The sequence below is a fragment of the Homo sapiens genome, chromosome 5, assembly GCF_000001405.40.
Source record: "Homo sapiens chromosome 5, GRCh38.p14 Primary Assembly".
NCBI lineage: Eukaryota > Metazoa > Chordata > Mammalia > Primates > Hominidae > Homo > Homo sapiens.
In genome coordinates this window covers 6792602-6807441 of record NC_000005.10, presented here as the reverse complement: position 1 = coordinate 6807441, position 14840 = coordinate 6792602, and the positions used below count along the sequence as shown (strand labels likewise).

General features: G+C 41.0%; 1 long non-coding RNA gene across 1 annotated transcript in view, besides 1 other annotated feature; it reads right to left on the bottom strand.

Moving 5' to 3' along the window:
• LINC02236 (long intergenic non-protein coding RNA 2236) overlaps window positions 1–11562 on the bottom strand; it is a 30849-nt gene extending 19287 nt beyond the window's left edge. Inside the window, exon 1 of the long non-coding RNA NR_146281.1 lies at window positions 11097–11562. This is a non-coding gene — a long non-coding RNA (long intergenic non-protein coding RNA 2236). The remainder of the gene's footprint in view (window positions 1–11096) is intronic.
• Window positions 3175–3675: an enhancer, noted in NCBI's record as "H3K27ac hESC enhancer chr5:6803880-6804380 (GRCh37/hg19 assembly coordinates)". NCBI's record gives its function as "activates a minimal SCP1, AML or CMV promoter by ChIP-STARR-seq in naive H9 embryonic stem cells {active_cell/tissue: H9 hESC(naive)}" and the evidence as "EXISTENCE:reporter gene assay evidence [ECO:0000049][PMID:30033119]".
• Window positions 11563–14840: the final 3278 nt, after the last annotated feature.

Below are 14840 nucleotides of genomic sequence, written 5' to 3'. Positions count from 1 at the left end.
AGATGTTGCAAGCGACAATAATGATGTGAAATAAATGTAATCAAATATATTGGCAAAGTTTGTTATCTTTAGTCGTTAGGACAAGGAAGAGATAAATATGCCCAAAATATACAGAATTAATAAGATAGATCTTCACTATCCAATATGGTAGTTACTAGCCTCATGTGGCTATTTAAATTTAAATTTGAGTTAATTAAAATTAAATAAAATTATAAAATGTGTTCCTTTGTCACACTAGCCACATTTCAAGGGTTTAATAGCCCTTCGTGGCTACTATATTGACCAGCATAGCTATAGAACATTTCCATCATCACAGAAAGTTCCATAAGCCACCATCCCTAAGATAGAAAATATTAATAGGATGGCAATGTTTGTAGGGAAGATGACACCAGTGAATATGAGGGCACACAAAAGTTCTATCTTATTATCGAATAAATAAAAAATAGCAATTTTTTAAAATGTAGAAAGGTAAGCAAACAAAAATAATAAATTAGTATGGTAGAATGGATCCCATTATACCAGTAGTTACAGTAAATGTAAATGGGCTAAAGTCATAGTTAAAAGACAAAGATCAAAAGAAGGGTTTACATATTGTATACAAGAGACCCACTTAAAGCATAGGGGCATGCAAAAGCAGTTTGACAGCATTGGTTCAGCCATACGAAATTGCCATTTTTGTGGGACAAAAAAGGATGGATATTGCCAATTTTATATGGTTCAATGTTTCAAGAAATAAAAGACATAAATGGCTACCAACAGAAAGAAAGCTAATACAGCTGCATCAATACTAGACAAAAGAGATACTAAGACAAAATGAAGAGTTAGGGATAGAGATTATCATTACATTAATTTGAAAAGACTCAGTTTATTGAAATGACAAAAAGAAATTTTGTCAAATGTACGGACCTAAGAAAACACTCACAAGATGTAGCAAAAAGTGTTAAAACTGCAGAAAGAAGTTTGATAAATTCACCATCATATTGGATTACTATGACAATTATTGATACATCAATCAGACAAAAAATTCAGCAAGAATAGTTGAACAATACAATTGACAAGCTTTCCCTAATGGATGGATACAGAGTTCTATATTCAAAAGTTAAAGAACATCCATTTTTGTCAAGGGCACATTTATAACAATGAATTACATTTAATAACCGATCAAGAAAGTCCCAGTGTGCATCAAAGAACACCACTTAGGCTAGACAGCTCTATGTTTGCTTAGGCAGAGTCCTATAAACTCAAACACAAAGTCCTTGAGATCAAACCCAACCTCCACCCAAGAGGTGACTCTCCCAGAAACTTCCTTTAAAAGTTCTAAGAATGAAATCACTTCTCTGCCAAGGTACCACCTGCTAAGACTCAAGCCTCAATAGAGTGCTATATCTCCTTGAGTTCAATGACTCTTACTTCTATTTACTCACACAAATGAACAGAGTGTTGTACCAAGCAGTACAGTGACCAGTTAAAGCCTGATGGAACACGGTGTGAAGTGGGACTTTTCCTATTCTTTAAGAATTTTGGCTAAAGCCGCAGAACTTAGGACAGGTTGATGAGTGCATCATCATTCTAGAGAGAGAGGCATTGAACACTTTGTGACCCAACTTAATAAAAACATCACAGATCTAGCCTGCTAATTAGCATCAAGCTCCATCACACATCTCCAGCGTATGTAAGAGATGACCTGGAAATGTACAAAGTGTTGCAGTGAACTAGCAGAGAAACTGGTGGCCTAATTTGGAGCGACATGTCTTTCTTCTCCTCAAACTCGCCCTTTAAAAAGTCTGGGAGGCTCCCAGGGGATCACTCTAAGAGGCTGGGACTGCCAGCAAGTTTCCATGGGCTTCCCCCTGGCTGGAGTTTGGCCGGCAGAGCTACAGAAACTCCCAAGTCCATCTTGCTGTGCCCCCTTTGTAGACCACCGTGAGACAGCTCTCAGGGGAACCTGTCCATCTCAAAAAGGACAGACATCTCAAGTCCTCTGGAAAATTGAAGGATGTTTTAGGATTTCCAGATTCCTCAAGCTGAAGCACCCACATGACACGCAATCCTGTTTCTTGGTCGTTTTGACCACACCCTATTGCACGACTTGTCTGCACTGCTATGCACAAAGCTCTGCACTCTCTCACCCATCTGGTCAAGCGCCCCTCCTGGGAAGAGGACAGAGAAAGAAGGAGGACATTGAAACCATCATACATTGGAGGGCTGGCCTATGGCTTCCCACTCAGTATTCTGCTCTCTGTGTAAAGAACCCCATTCCTTCAACTGCTCCCTCTGCAAAATGGTTTCTAATCATTCACTATCCTGTCTACTCTTACTCCCTTTTGCCAACATCACTGTTCAAGTACATTGCCCTGAAATTGCAATAATTCCACTGCCAAGTGAGACGAATAAGGGAGAATAAACACCATTTCCTTTAAATGTTCTAAAACCCAGGATTTTTACTTACTCACTAATACAGCAAGTCTGAGATTCCTAAGGTCTCACATCATCACAGAGTTAGAGACCAAGTAATTTTAGCTGAGCCAGATCTCTTCCCCTCATACATCTGACTTTTTTCTGTTTGATAAGTTGGATAACTTATGAATATAGGGAAAATGTTGACAAAAGATTAAAAGTACAAATAGATTTGCATAATTTTTCCCCAAAAAATATAACTAAATCATAATAGTAATTAAAGTCTTGGCTTTCTTGTGTGTTTTTAATCCTTACCAATTTAAGTATTTTTCCAGAACAATTTCATTGTCTCCAAAAATAGTCCTTCACAAGACAAAAAAAATTAGCTAATAAATTCTTGCATGTAAAATGGCTCTGCATCTTATAAATATTTCACAAACATTTGCCAGTTTATTTGTTTTTCTAAATGGTTTCTTATTATTTCTTTGTTTAAAAGGTCCTGGGCCACGAATATATCATGTCCGGGGACTGCAAGATAACAAACGATTTTTTTTCTCTAATCACATTGTTCTTTACAATTTGATTTACTTCACTGTATAAATTCATTTTCTTGGCATGAGAACAGCTGTCTCATGGCTGTTGGGGGCAAAGCTGGAACTCTCAGGCAAACAGCCAGGCTCTCCCGTCTGGCCTGGTGTCACCACCATCCCTTAGGGCCTCTGCCTGAGACAACCCCCAACTGAAGGGCAAGCAACATCCCAGCCTTGTTTGTATCTGCAGGAGGATTCACAAGAGGGCTGACTCTTAGGAGGCTGAGATGACCATTTGCACTGGTGGATCCTCAGAGAGGGCATGGAGCAGCAGGGATGGGTCCTATGGAGGTGGAACAGGAAGCCAGGGTTCCGGCTCTTCCCAGCTTTGCCCACCAGCTGCAGCAGAGTGTCATCACAGTTGCTTTTGGTTTTCAATCCCCATCCCAGGACCTTACTGTGAGTCCAAGCTCCCGGCCCCTTCCTTTCTTTCCCTGTAGGTTCTCTCTGTGTTGCGCAGTTCTTGCAGTTATTTCAGGAAACTTGAAACCCCTAGCCTCTTAGTGAGCACACACACTCTCAGACCTTCAGCCCTTACGCTGTCACAATTTATAGTTAAGACCTATGTGGACCTGAAACCTTAACTGTCATCTGTGAAGTCCTCTTTGATACTGTTCCCTCACACTGGCAATGCTCTTGGGGGCACCCTAACACCTGGTTTTTCTAAAGTAACTCTAAGTTTAGCCACTATGGTGCCCTTCACTGCAAGGAAGACAGGGTCTCTATCACCAAATAGTGACAATCAAGTACATACGATAACGTTTATTTAAAGTGTAATATACTCTAAGTGTGTGTATTCGTTCAATTACACTAGTAGGAAATGTAGCAGCTAGCATTAGTGAGTACTCAGTGTACTCAAAGTGCTTTGTACACATTAATCAAATAAATGCAGTGACTTGTTTTATCCTCACAAAATGCACTGACATTGCTTTCAAGATCTAGTCCATTTTGCAGATGAGAAAAGTTAACTTGCCCTAGGTCCAGTGAGTGAAAGCAGATAACGGAGATTTGGGCCTAGGGAGGCTAGGTCCAGAGCCCATACTCATAACAAACACGTCACCCTCTCTAAACTGTACCACCCGTGAGTACAGTAACAGCTCATTCAGAACAACTAATATTCTCACGTGTTTCAGGAGCGCAAATGTAGGAGAACTCACTTCCAACTGAGGTAATCAGGGAATTTTAAGATGCGGGTTCAGTTACACCAAGACAAATATGACAGAAGTAGAGAAATAATTCCCATCTGAGGAGACTGTGCAAGCACAGAGGTAGCTTCCCAGCTGCCCTCCACCTAGTGCATCCCATTAGCACCCATCCTGACCTTTTTCTACTCTCTCAGGGGAATCGGAGCTTCCCTCATTTCCAAAACAGGAGCCACTTCACTGTACCTGCTGTAGCGACCACACACCATCAAATGGGACTTGTCCCACTCCAACTGTCTTCTTCTCCTCCATCCTAAAAGAAGCTTCTACTCTCTTCCTCTTCTCTTCACTGACCACCTTCCTGAAAATGATGAGTTACATGTTCTCCTGGATTACTTAAGTAATCAAACAAAGCTTTCATTTGCCTGTGACACAGGTAATGAGAGCAGCTCTTCTTGACGTATAATTGAAACAGAAAAACCCTTTTTAAATTTTTTTAACTGTTAAGTTCAGGGGTACAAGTGCAGGTTTGTTACGTAGGTAAACTTATGTCATGGGGGTTTGTTGTACAGATTATTTCCTTACCTAGGTATTAAGCCTAGTTCCCATTAGTTATTTGTCCTGATCCTCTCCCTCCTCCCACCCTCTGCCCTCCTCTGCTAGACCCCAGTGTGTGTTGTTCCTGCCATGTGTCCATGTGTTCTCATCATTTAGCTCCCACTTATAAGTGAGAAGATGCAGTATTTGGTTTTCTGTTCCTGCGTTAGTTTGCTAAGGATAATGGCCTCCAGCTCCAACCATGTCCTTACAAAGGACATGATCTCATTCTTTTTTATGGTTGCATAGTATTCCATGGTGTATATGTACCACATTTTCTTTATCCAGTCTATCAGTGGAACCCAGAATCAAAAGTGGCATATGCTGGTGCCTCAATGATCCACCTGAAGAGAGAAAAAAACTTAAAGGAAAAGAAAACTGATTGGATCAACATAGAAAGCTTGGGAAGACTTGCATCTGACTCCCTCTCTTCCTTCCCTAGCCTAATACTTAATCCCTCACCAATCTTAGTAAGTTACACACACCAAAAGCTCAAAACTCCCAGTTGAAGCCCTCCTTCACCTTCATGCCTTAAAAAAAAAAAAAGAAAAAAAAAAACTCCTAAATGCCAGGAGTTGTAGTAATCAAAGGACATGAGGACATGACCCTGATGGGATACTTTAGCCACACCATTACTTTACAATGGCATGGAGAATCTTTAAGAAATCATGCCCCAAATTTGTGCTATAAGTGTCCCAAAGTTTGAGAATTCCATTATAATTGCAATGAAGTTAGTTACACAGGTTCCATTGTTTTAAGGACTACTCAGCTTAAGGAGGAAACGTTCCAGCCTGTGGCCACTGAAGATGCCTCTGATGCAAAACGTTTAACATTTACAAGTAAAAGTTTTAAATCCCGAGTGATTCCATAGGGCAGCAGTCACCAGCCTTTTTGGCACCAGGGACCAGTTTCGTGGAAGATAATTTTCCATGGACTGTGGTCAGGGGTGATGGTTTCGGGATGATTCAAGTACATTACATTTATTGTGCACTTTATTTATATTATTATTACATTTAATATATAATGAAATAATTAGACAACTCACCATAATGTAGAATTCAGTGGGAACCCTGAGCTTGTTTTTCTGCAACTAGATGGTCCCATCTGGGGGTGATAGGAGGCAGTGACAGATCATCAGGCATTAGATTTTCATAAGGAGTCCACAGCCTAGATCCCCGGCATGCACAGTTCACAATAGGGTTCGAGCTCCTGTGAGAATCCAATGCTGCTGCTGATCAGACAGGAGGAGCTCAGGCGGGAATGTGACCAATGGGGAGTGGCCATAAAGACAGACGAAGCTTCGCTTACTCACCTGCCTCTCACCTCCTGCTGTGTGGCCCAGGTCCTAACAGACCACTGACCATACCAGACTGGTCCTTGGCCTGGGGTTTGGGGTTCCCTGCCATAGGGTACAGAGTGTACTGATGTCAAATCAAGTCAACAAACTATGAAAAAGAAAGTCAAAACATGTGCCCCAAACTTCCACTTCTAAGTAGTAGGTAACAGCCAATGCCCCTGATCTCAGGAACTAAGAAACAAAAGAATAAAAAATCATTTTCGAAGCATTGGAGAGATGTGGAATCAACAAAGAATAAATAAACTAAACTTTCAGAGAGAAAAGCCAGTAAGAGGGAGATGATGGTTGGCATCTGTTTTTCCCTGGAAACATCTTCCTGTACTGTTAAATAGAAGCCCAGTGATCAGATTTAGGTCAGGTAGAAGACGCCGCTAGAGGAAGGAAAACCAGAAAAGCTTTCAGTGGTGCCATAGGGCTAGGGTGACAAATCATATCTCAGGTGAGGGCCCTGCAATGCATAGCTGATTTTACCCACAAGACATTTGATTTTTTTTTTTTTTTTAGCTGAGTAGTCAGGGGAGTGGAGGCCTAAAGAGCTAGGCTAAAAGTTCCTGAAAGGCAAAGTAAAATTTCTGTCAATATTTGTGACTAGGAAACAAAAAACTTCCCAGGGAAGGAACCTGAAAAGAAATCCAGCACAAGATGAAAGCCTGTGAATTGACACCAGGATCTGCAGCCACTCTTTTGGGGGCACCAGACAAATGTGGGTATCAAGGCTCAGCCCCTGGCAAGAGGCTGCTGCTGCTGGAGACAGAAAACAAAGCAAAGACTTTAGTGTTTGTCAAGGACAAAATTAGCGGGTAGGGCATCCAACCCAAGCATTCTCTCCATCAAGACCTTTGCCAAATTCTGAAGGTGACGAGGTCAGGAGTGTGAGTGCTGAGCTTAAATTTCTCTAAGGCCAAGCTGAATCACCCACAATCATTCAGAACTCAGGATGCAAAGACTTTCCAAGCTCTCAGATAAAGCCCTGAGAACAGAGGTAGGTTGAGTCTGATCAAAACTACACCAATCCCTAATGGTTGGCCCTTGGGAATCAACCTCCTCTGCCTTAGAGAGGAGACACAAAACACTTTCATGTGGAAAAGAACATCATTGGAACCTCTACAGTCTTTTATACAAAATATTCAGCTTACAAGAAATTATTAGATCTGTGAAAAGATAAGACCATAGGCTCAATGTGCTTTAATGTTTTTAAAAGCAAACAACAGAATTAGGTTCACAAGTGACCCAAATTCTAGATACAATAGACAATTATTTTAAAATAATTATGATTAATATATTCAAGAAAATAGAGGAAATGAGAGGCAATATAAATAGAATAATGGCAATTTGCAATTAAGAATTAGAATTATTTTTTAAATAAACTATAGAACTAAAATCATAATATCCAAAATTAAGAATGCAATGAATAGTTTTAACAGTAGATTGGACATAAAACTGGTGAACTGGAAAGCAATGCAATAGAAAAATACCCAAACTGAAGGAAAGAAACTAAAAAGAAAAAAATGATTTTAAGAAATTAAGAGAAATAAGGGATATATTCAAAATGTCTAAACAATATATAATTGCATTACCAGGGAGGAGAGAGAATGAGAAGCAATATTCAAAGAGATAATGACTAAAAACATTCCAAACTGATGAAAGACATCAACCCACACATTCAAGAAATTCAGCAAACTTCAAGCAAGATAAATATAAAGAAAATCACACCTAGATACATCATCGATGTCAGCTTTCTAAAAATCAAGGACAAGAAGAAAATATTAAAATCAGCCAAACAAACAACACATTTCTTTGGAATGAGAAAAAAAAGAAAAAAATTAATAGCTGACTTCTCAAAAGAAATCTTAGAAGCAGATAACAAGCCAGGCATGGTGGCTCATGCCTGTAATCCCAGCACTTTGGGAGGGCAAGACGGGCAGATCACTTGAGGTCAGGAGTTCAAGACCAGCCTGGCCAACATAGTGAAACACCAAAACCCCGTCTCTACTAAAAATACAAAAATTAGCCGGGCATGGTGGCAGATGCCTGTAATCCCAGCTACTCAGGAGGCTGAGGCAGAAGAGTTGCTTGAACCTTGGAGGCGGAGGCTGCAGTGAACCGTGATCGCATCAGTGCATTCCAGCCTGGGCGAAAGAGCAAGACTCCATCAAAAAAAGGAGAAGGAAGGGGATGGGGAGTAGGAGGGGAAATCATGGAAACAGAAGATGGGAAATTTGTAACCTTATATGCTTTATTAAAGCAAAAGGAAGAAAATTACAAACAAAGAACAGAGCAGAATTTCAGTAAATTTTTTTAAAAATCTTTAAAAATCAACAAGGTCAAAAGTTATGCTTTGAAATGATAAATCTTTAGGAAAATTGAACAAGAATAAAACACTAACTACCTAATAAGAAAGAAAAAATGAACTATAACTACAGATCCTACAAACATTAACAAGATAGAAGAATATTATGAACAAATTTACTCCAGAAGATGTGGCTATCTGGATTACATCAATAAATTCCTCAAATACAATTTACCAATTCTAACAGAAGAATAGAAAATGTGAATAGTCTGATATATATTAAAGAAATTATTATATAATTTACAATAATTAATTTATTATTCAGTTTTTTCAGTAGATTATTATTGAATTTATTATTAATATTTCCACACAAAAAAACCCAGGCACAGGTGGATTTTTCATTTCACAGGAACAAATAACAAGTAATATATTAGACTATTAAAAGACTATAAGGAGAGGAAATATTTCCCAACTTTTATGGATGAATCTCTCTCAGAACATATACTCAAAAATTATTTTAAAATATTAGCATAGTAAGTTCAGTGATATATACAAAAGATACCATATTATGAAGAAATAGGGTTTATTTCAGGACTGGAAGAACAGTTTTGCTTTTAAAGGCAATCAGTCTAATTCATGACATCATCAGGAAAAAAACTGGGGAAAAATCATGCTTTCATGTTAATGCAAAACATTAGACAGAATTCAACACTCATTCATGATTTTTTATAAAAACTCAAACTAGCAATATGGACAATATATATGGAGATTCTTTGGGGAAAATGGCAAAGATCTATTTCTTGATATGAGTTATCATTGCAAGGGCTTCCATCTTGAAATAATTCGCTAAGCTATACATTTATTATGAGTGGGATTTTTCTGTGTCTATGATTTATTTTACAATAAAATGTAAATAAAAAGGGAAGAAGTTGGAGAAGTTAGTAAGATAACCTGAATATCATGAATCCCATTAAGAACTTATTTTTTTCAAACTGTGATGAGTGTCTGCACCTGTGTTCACAACTGGAAATTCATTATGTCTCACATCATCTTTAAATTTAAGTGAAGCAACACTATGCAGTCTTACTCCATAAAAATGACTTATTATCTTTAGATGATTCATTTACAGGTTTAGTAAGGGAAAAATGTGTGACATCCTTCAATTTCATGGCTAGAATGCTGAACAAATAGGATTCCAACATCATAAATTTATTTTACCCATCACAATGCAGTTATATATTATCTTTAATGTTCTCACGGGCCTTGCAATTTTTTGATAGGAGAGTTTGCAATTATTTGAAGAGATGCAAACAAAGAAGGACTGAGGGAAGGAAGGTGTGTGGAGTGTATTTGGGGTGTGTATGTATAACGTGATTGTGTTTATTTCTAGGTGATCTGTGTTATTATGTATGTGAGTGTGTGTAATATGCATTTGGTGTGTGTGAGGGATGTCTGTGCATATTTGTGTATATCTGTGTGTTGTGTATGTATGTGTGGTGTGTGTGTATTGTGTGGCACATGTGGCATTGTGTTTCATTGTATTGTAGTGTATTACGTGGTGTGTGTAGTGTGTGTATTCTTTGGTGTATATGTGGTATATGTCTGTGTTGCACTGTATGTGTGTTATATGTGCACTGTGCAGTAAGTGAAAGGTGTTTGTGTGTGTATTGTGTGCGTGATATGGTTAGAAGACTATACATTCATTAACAGAGTTATTTTGAAAAACTCGTAATCCATCCAGGAAAGGGCTACCCAGAAGGTTGAGTCTAGAAATCCTACCATGAAGGAATAGAAAGAGCAGGGAAAGATAAACTTGAATAGGAGACAATTTAGAAAATGAAAGTGAGATTTTTTTTAATTGGCTGAAAATGTCCAAAAAGGAACTCATGAAAAGGGACAAGGCTCTCTGTGTGGATACAGAAGGCAGAACGGAAGCTTGTTATTTGAAATGCAATTAGACATCTAAAAAAATGCAATTTACTCCTTGCTGAGTGGAGAATTTTCTGTCACAGTGGGTGTGCAAGTAGAGATGAAATGCAGAGCTATCGGGGTTGGGCCAGATAACCTCAAGATGCTCTCAACTGCGAAAGGGTTAGAAAGAAGAATAAAGAGTGTGCTAGACCATGCCCAGCCCTAGCCATCCCCATGCCATCCCTGGCAGGTGCTCAACAGAACCATGCTCTTGGGAGGCACAGTGAGATTATTGGTGGCTGCTCCTTGGATGGTTCCCAATGAACTCAACGCTGAGGGAATCCACTCCAATACCCTCTCCTTGAACTGGAGAGCTATTACTCAGATCAAGATACAGGCAATCTCAGAATTAAAATCTAAGCGAAGAGGAAGGGTCGTAGATCGAGATCATCAGAAGCCAACACCATGGGGTACAGCATTGCCCATTCAATGGGTGGTAATGGAAGCAATGAGAAGTGTGGGGAGCAGAAGAAAATTTAGCTCTGCTCTTGCTTCTAACAATGTTCCACACATTTCCTGTGTTAAACAAGTAACTCAGCTTAGCTTATGGAGTCAAGGCCCATCCACTTTTCCCAACACAGCCACAAGCCCGGAGAAATCTAGAAAATAATACAGTCATTAGCTTTAACTACGGGCTTTCAAAATTTATCTGTAAACACGCATGCTATTTTTTCAAAAGGCAGGATTTGGCCTGAGCAACAAGCACAATTGAGAGTCTGTGGAGTCACCTTTGTGTATTATGGAATACACACCCATAATCCATGCAGTTTTTAGCAGTGGAATCTATCTTCTGCTTCCATCCCATGTTACACATCACTTCTGGCTCCATCCCATTCATCTTCTAGGACATGAGGGCTGGGAATGAGACTTGGCAATGCCACAGTTGCTCCTGCCTGGTACGAATTAATTTTTAGGTAATTCAGTAGTGGCCAAGCATATCTTTACAACCATCCAGCTCAACTCAATGTGAATGCAATGATCATGCATTCTTCACACTGCATCAAAAACAAGCAGATGTCTCGTGGATCCATTCCCTGTACAATATTCCTAAATGTTCAAACCTGCATTTTAAAGGTCTGATGAAACAAATTCAAGTTAATATTACTTGCTAAAAATTAGAAATGAGAACAAGAATTTCCTAGCAGCTTTAAAATACCCCCAAACTGGAAACAATCCAAATGTGTATCAACAAGAGAAAGGATACATCTCCCGTGCAATGGAGTATGACACAGTATCTACGTCAGTTCAGGCTGCTATAGCAGAATATCATAGGCTGGACAGATTATATAACAAATATTTATTTCTCAGTTCTGGAGGCTGGGAAGTCCAAGATCAAGGTGCCAGCAGATTCATGTCTGAGGAGGGCTTCTCACCTGGTTTGGAGGTGGCCATCTTCTTGTATCCTCACATGGCAAAGAGAGAGAGAGCTCTGGTCTCTTCATCCCCTTGTAAGTGCACTAATCCCATTCATAAAGGCTCTGTTCTCATGACCTCCTGATACTATCACATGAGGATTTAGGCTTCAAGACATGAATTAGAGAGGAACACAAATATTCAGTCCATAGCACACAGCAACGAAAAAGAATGAACTCCTGATGGCTGCAACAACATGAATTAGTTTCAGCGGCATAGCTAAGTGAAGGAAGCCACACAGAAAAGAGCAGATGCTGGCCGGGCGCGGTGGCTCACACCTGTAATCCCAGCACTTTGGGAGGCCGAGGCAGGCAGATCACGAGGTCAGGAGATCGAGACCATCCTGGCTAACACGGTGAAACCCTGTCTCTACTAAAAATACAAAAAAAAAATTAGCTGGGCGTGGTGGTGGGCGCCTGTGGTCCCAGCTACTCAGGAGGCTGAGGCAGGAGAATGGTGTGAACCCAGGAGGCAGAGCTTGCAGTGAGCCGAGATCGCACCACTGCACTCCAGCCTGGACAACAGAGTGAGACTCCATCTCAAAAAAAAAAAAAAAAAAAAGAGCAGATGCTGTGTGATGCCATGTATGTCAAGTTCAAAACCAAGCAAAGCCAATCTATAGTGACAGGGTATATTAGTCCACTCTCAGGCTGCTATAAGGACATACCCAAGACTGGGTAATTTATAAAGCAAAGAGGTTTAATTGACTCACAGTTCTACAGGGCTGAGGAGGCCTCAGGAAATTCACAATCATGGTGGAAGGAGAAACAAACACATCCTTCTTCACAGGGCGACAGCAAGGAGAAGTGCCAAGCAAAAGCAGGAAAAGCTTCTTACAAAACTATCAGATCAACCGGGTGCAGTGGCTCATGCCTATAATCCCAGCACTTTGGGAGGTCGAGGTGGGCCGATCACTTGAGGTCAAGAGTTCGAGACCAGCCTGGCCAACGTGGTGAAGCTCCACCTCTACTAAAAGTACAAAAATTAGCCGGGTGTCATGGTGCACGCCTGTAGTCCCAGCTACTCGGGAGGCTGAGGCACAAGAATCGCTTGAACCTGGGAGGCAGAGGTTACAGTAAGCCGAGATCTTGCCACTGCACTCCAGCCTGGGTGACAGAGAGAGACTCCATCTCAAAAAAAGAAAATCATCAGATCTTGTGAGAACTTACTCATTATCACAAGAATAGCATGGGGGAACTGCCCCCATAATTCAATTACCTCCCACCAGGTCCCTCCCATGACATGTGAGGATTATAGGAAATATAAGATGAGATTTGGGTGGGGACACAACCAAACCATATCAGAGGGGTCAGGGTAAACATTATTCTGAGGGGCAGGGGATAGTGACTGAAAAGAACTCCAAAGAGGTGTTCTGAGGTCTGGCAATATCCTGTGTCTTGCTCTAGCTGGTGGTTAGTTACATGGATGCATTTAGCATGTGAAAATTCATGGGGCTGTACATTTGATAAATAGGCCCATGGAAAACAATCAGTAAATGAGCTCAATAGGAATTTATAAATCTCCCTGTAGGAGGATGCTAATGTAACACAGCCAAAATTATAATGCCATTTTGGGGAAGCTTTTGTGGCCTCAAACACCATTAGGAAACCCACAGGCAATGGGAAGACACTTGGCTCAAGGCACTGGAATACCAGAATCATGACCCTTTTTGGGACTAGAAGATCTTGGAAATCATATACGCCAAGCCCCTCAGTTTACAGATCTGGAAATGAGGCTCCCAAGCTTCCGCTGTTGCAAATATCGTCTGGAAGACAATGCCTCCAATCAATGGAGCTCAGCCCTGGCTGCACGGCAAAACCTCCTGGAGAGCTTTAAAACATATTGATACCCAGGCTCACCCCCAGCCTAATTAATTTATAATCTCTGGAAATGAGGCTCCACATCAATAGTTCTACCAGCTCCCCAGGTGAGTCTAATGACTGCATCAAATCATTACAGCACCCATATCTTGCTTAAATTTGTTTCAGATTACTCCGCCAGACCCCTTGCAAAGCCTGAAGCAATGGGCCCAGGAGTGGTGAGTTTTGTTCAGCACAGAGGGGATGTGGGAGGAGGAGAAGCCCAAAGAGAGGCTCAGTGAGGGTGAGGGGGCCGCACCACCCACTCCCCCCACCTTGCCTGCAGTTGCCAACACCACCTGCCTCGGAGCTGGGGAGAAATGCTCTTCCGTTCTCTTTACAAGATTTCCTGTCACTTCCTCCCAGCTCACATTCAGTGGTGCCAGTTGCATAACCCAAGGAGCTGTTTTCTTAAAGTTCAAAGTCAGAATGGATCTGGCACAGCAAGAAATTCAGGATAAATTTAGTCAAGATCTCCGTTCTGGCAGCAGAGGCACGGCTTTGACTCAGCTGCGCCATGAGTCCCGATGCACAGGCTGGAGGTGCACACCCAGATCTTCAACTGCAGCCACAAATAATGTCAGGTAGCGTCTGGGCCTTTCCCGCCACTCCCAGGAAGTCATTATGCCCCATCTTCGGTTTCCTCTACCTATAGGAAGAGCTCGACAACAATGCATTTGCCGCTCTCACAGGTGTGGACCTCCCTAGTGGGATCTGTCCAAGCAGGATCCGGGAGGCAGCTGTCAAGTTAGGAAATGAGATTCCTTGGAGGCGGGCAGGTGACACAAAGTAAGTGCCTACCAGTTACAGAACACTCAGCACTTTACAGGCACGCCTTGTTTAGTCCTTGCACATCACACGTGCAAGCCATTTGCTAATATTTTACCATCTAGAGACTAAAGGCTCGGCCCCATTGAGCAATCTCACAGGTTAGAGAGAGCATCTGGGTTTGGATACAGGTGTTTCGGATTCCAGAGACCACGTGTGTTATTAACTACTCTGCTGCTTTCTAGATAGTCTTTCATTAAAATCATAAAAGATGGAAAACTAAATAAAATACAGCTGTGTTTTGCTCATTCACCCTTTCCTTTTTTCAGCCATCTTTCAGTGAGGACCCGCCAGGTGTGAAGCACTAAATTGTTGGGGTTTGTGAGAGCTCATCACACTCACTTTTACCCCCGGCCAGTTTGGAACTGAGAAAAAGCTGCTGGAGTCAGATGGATA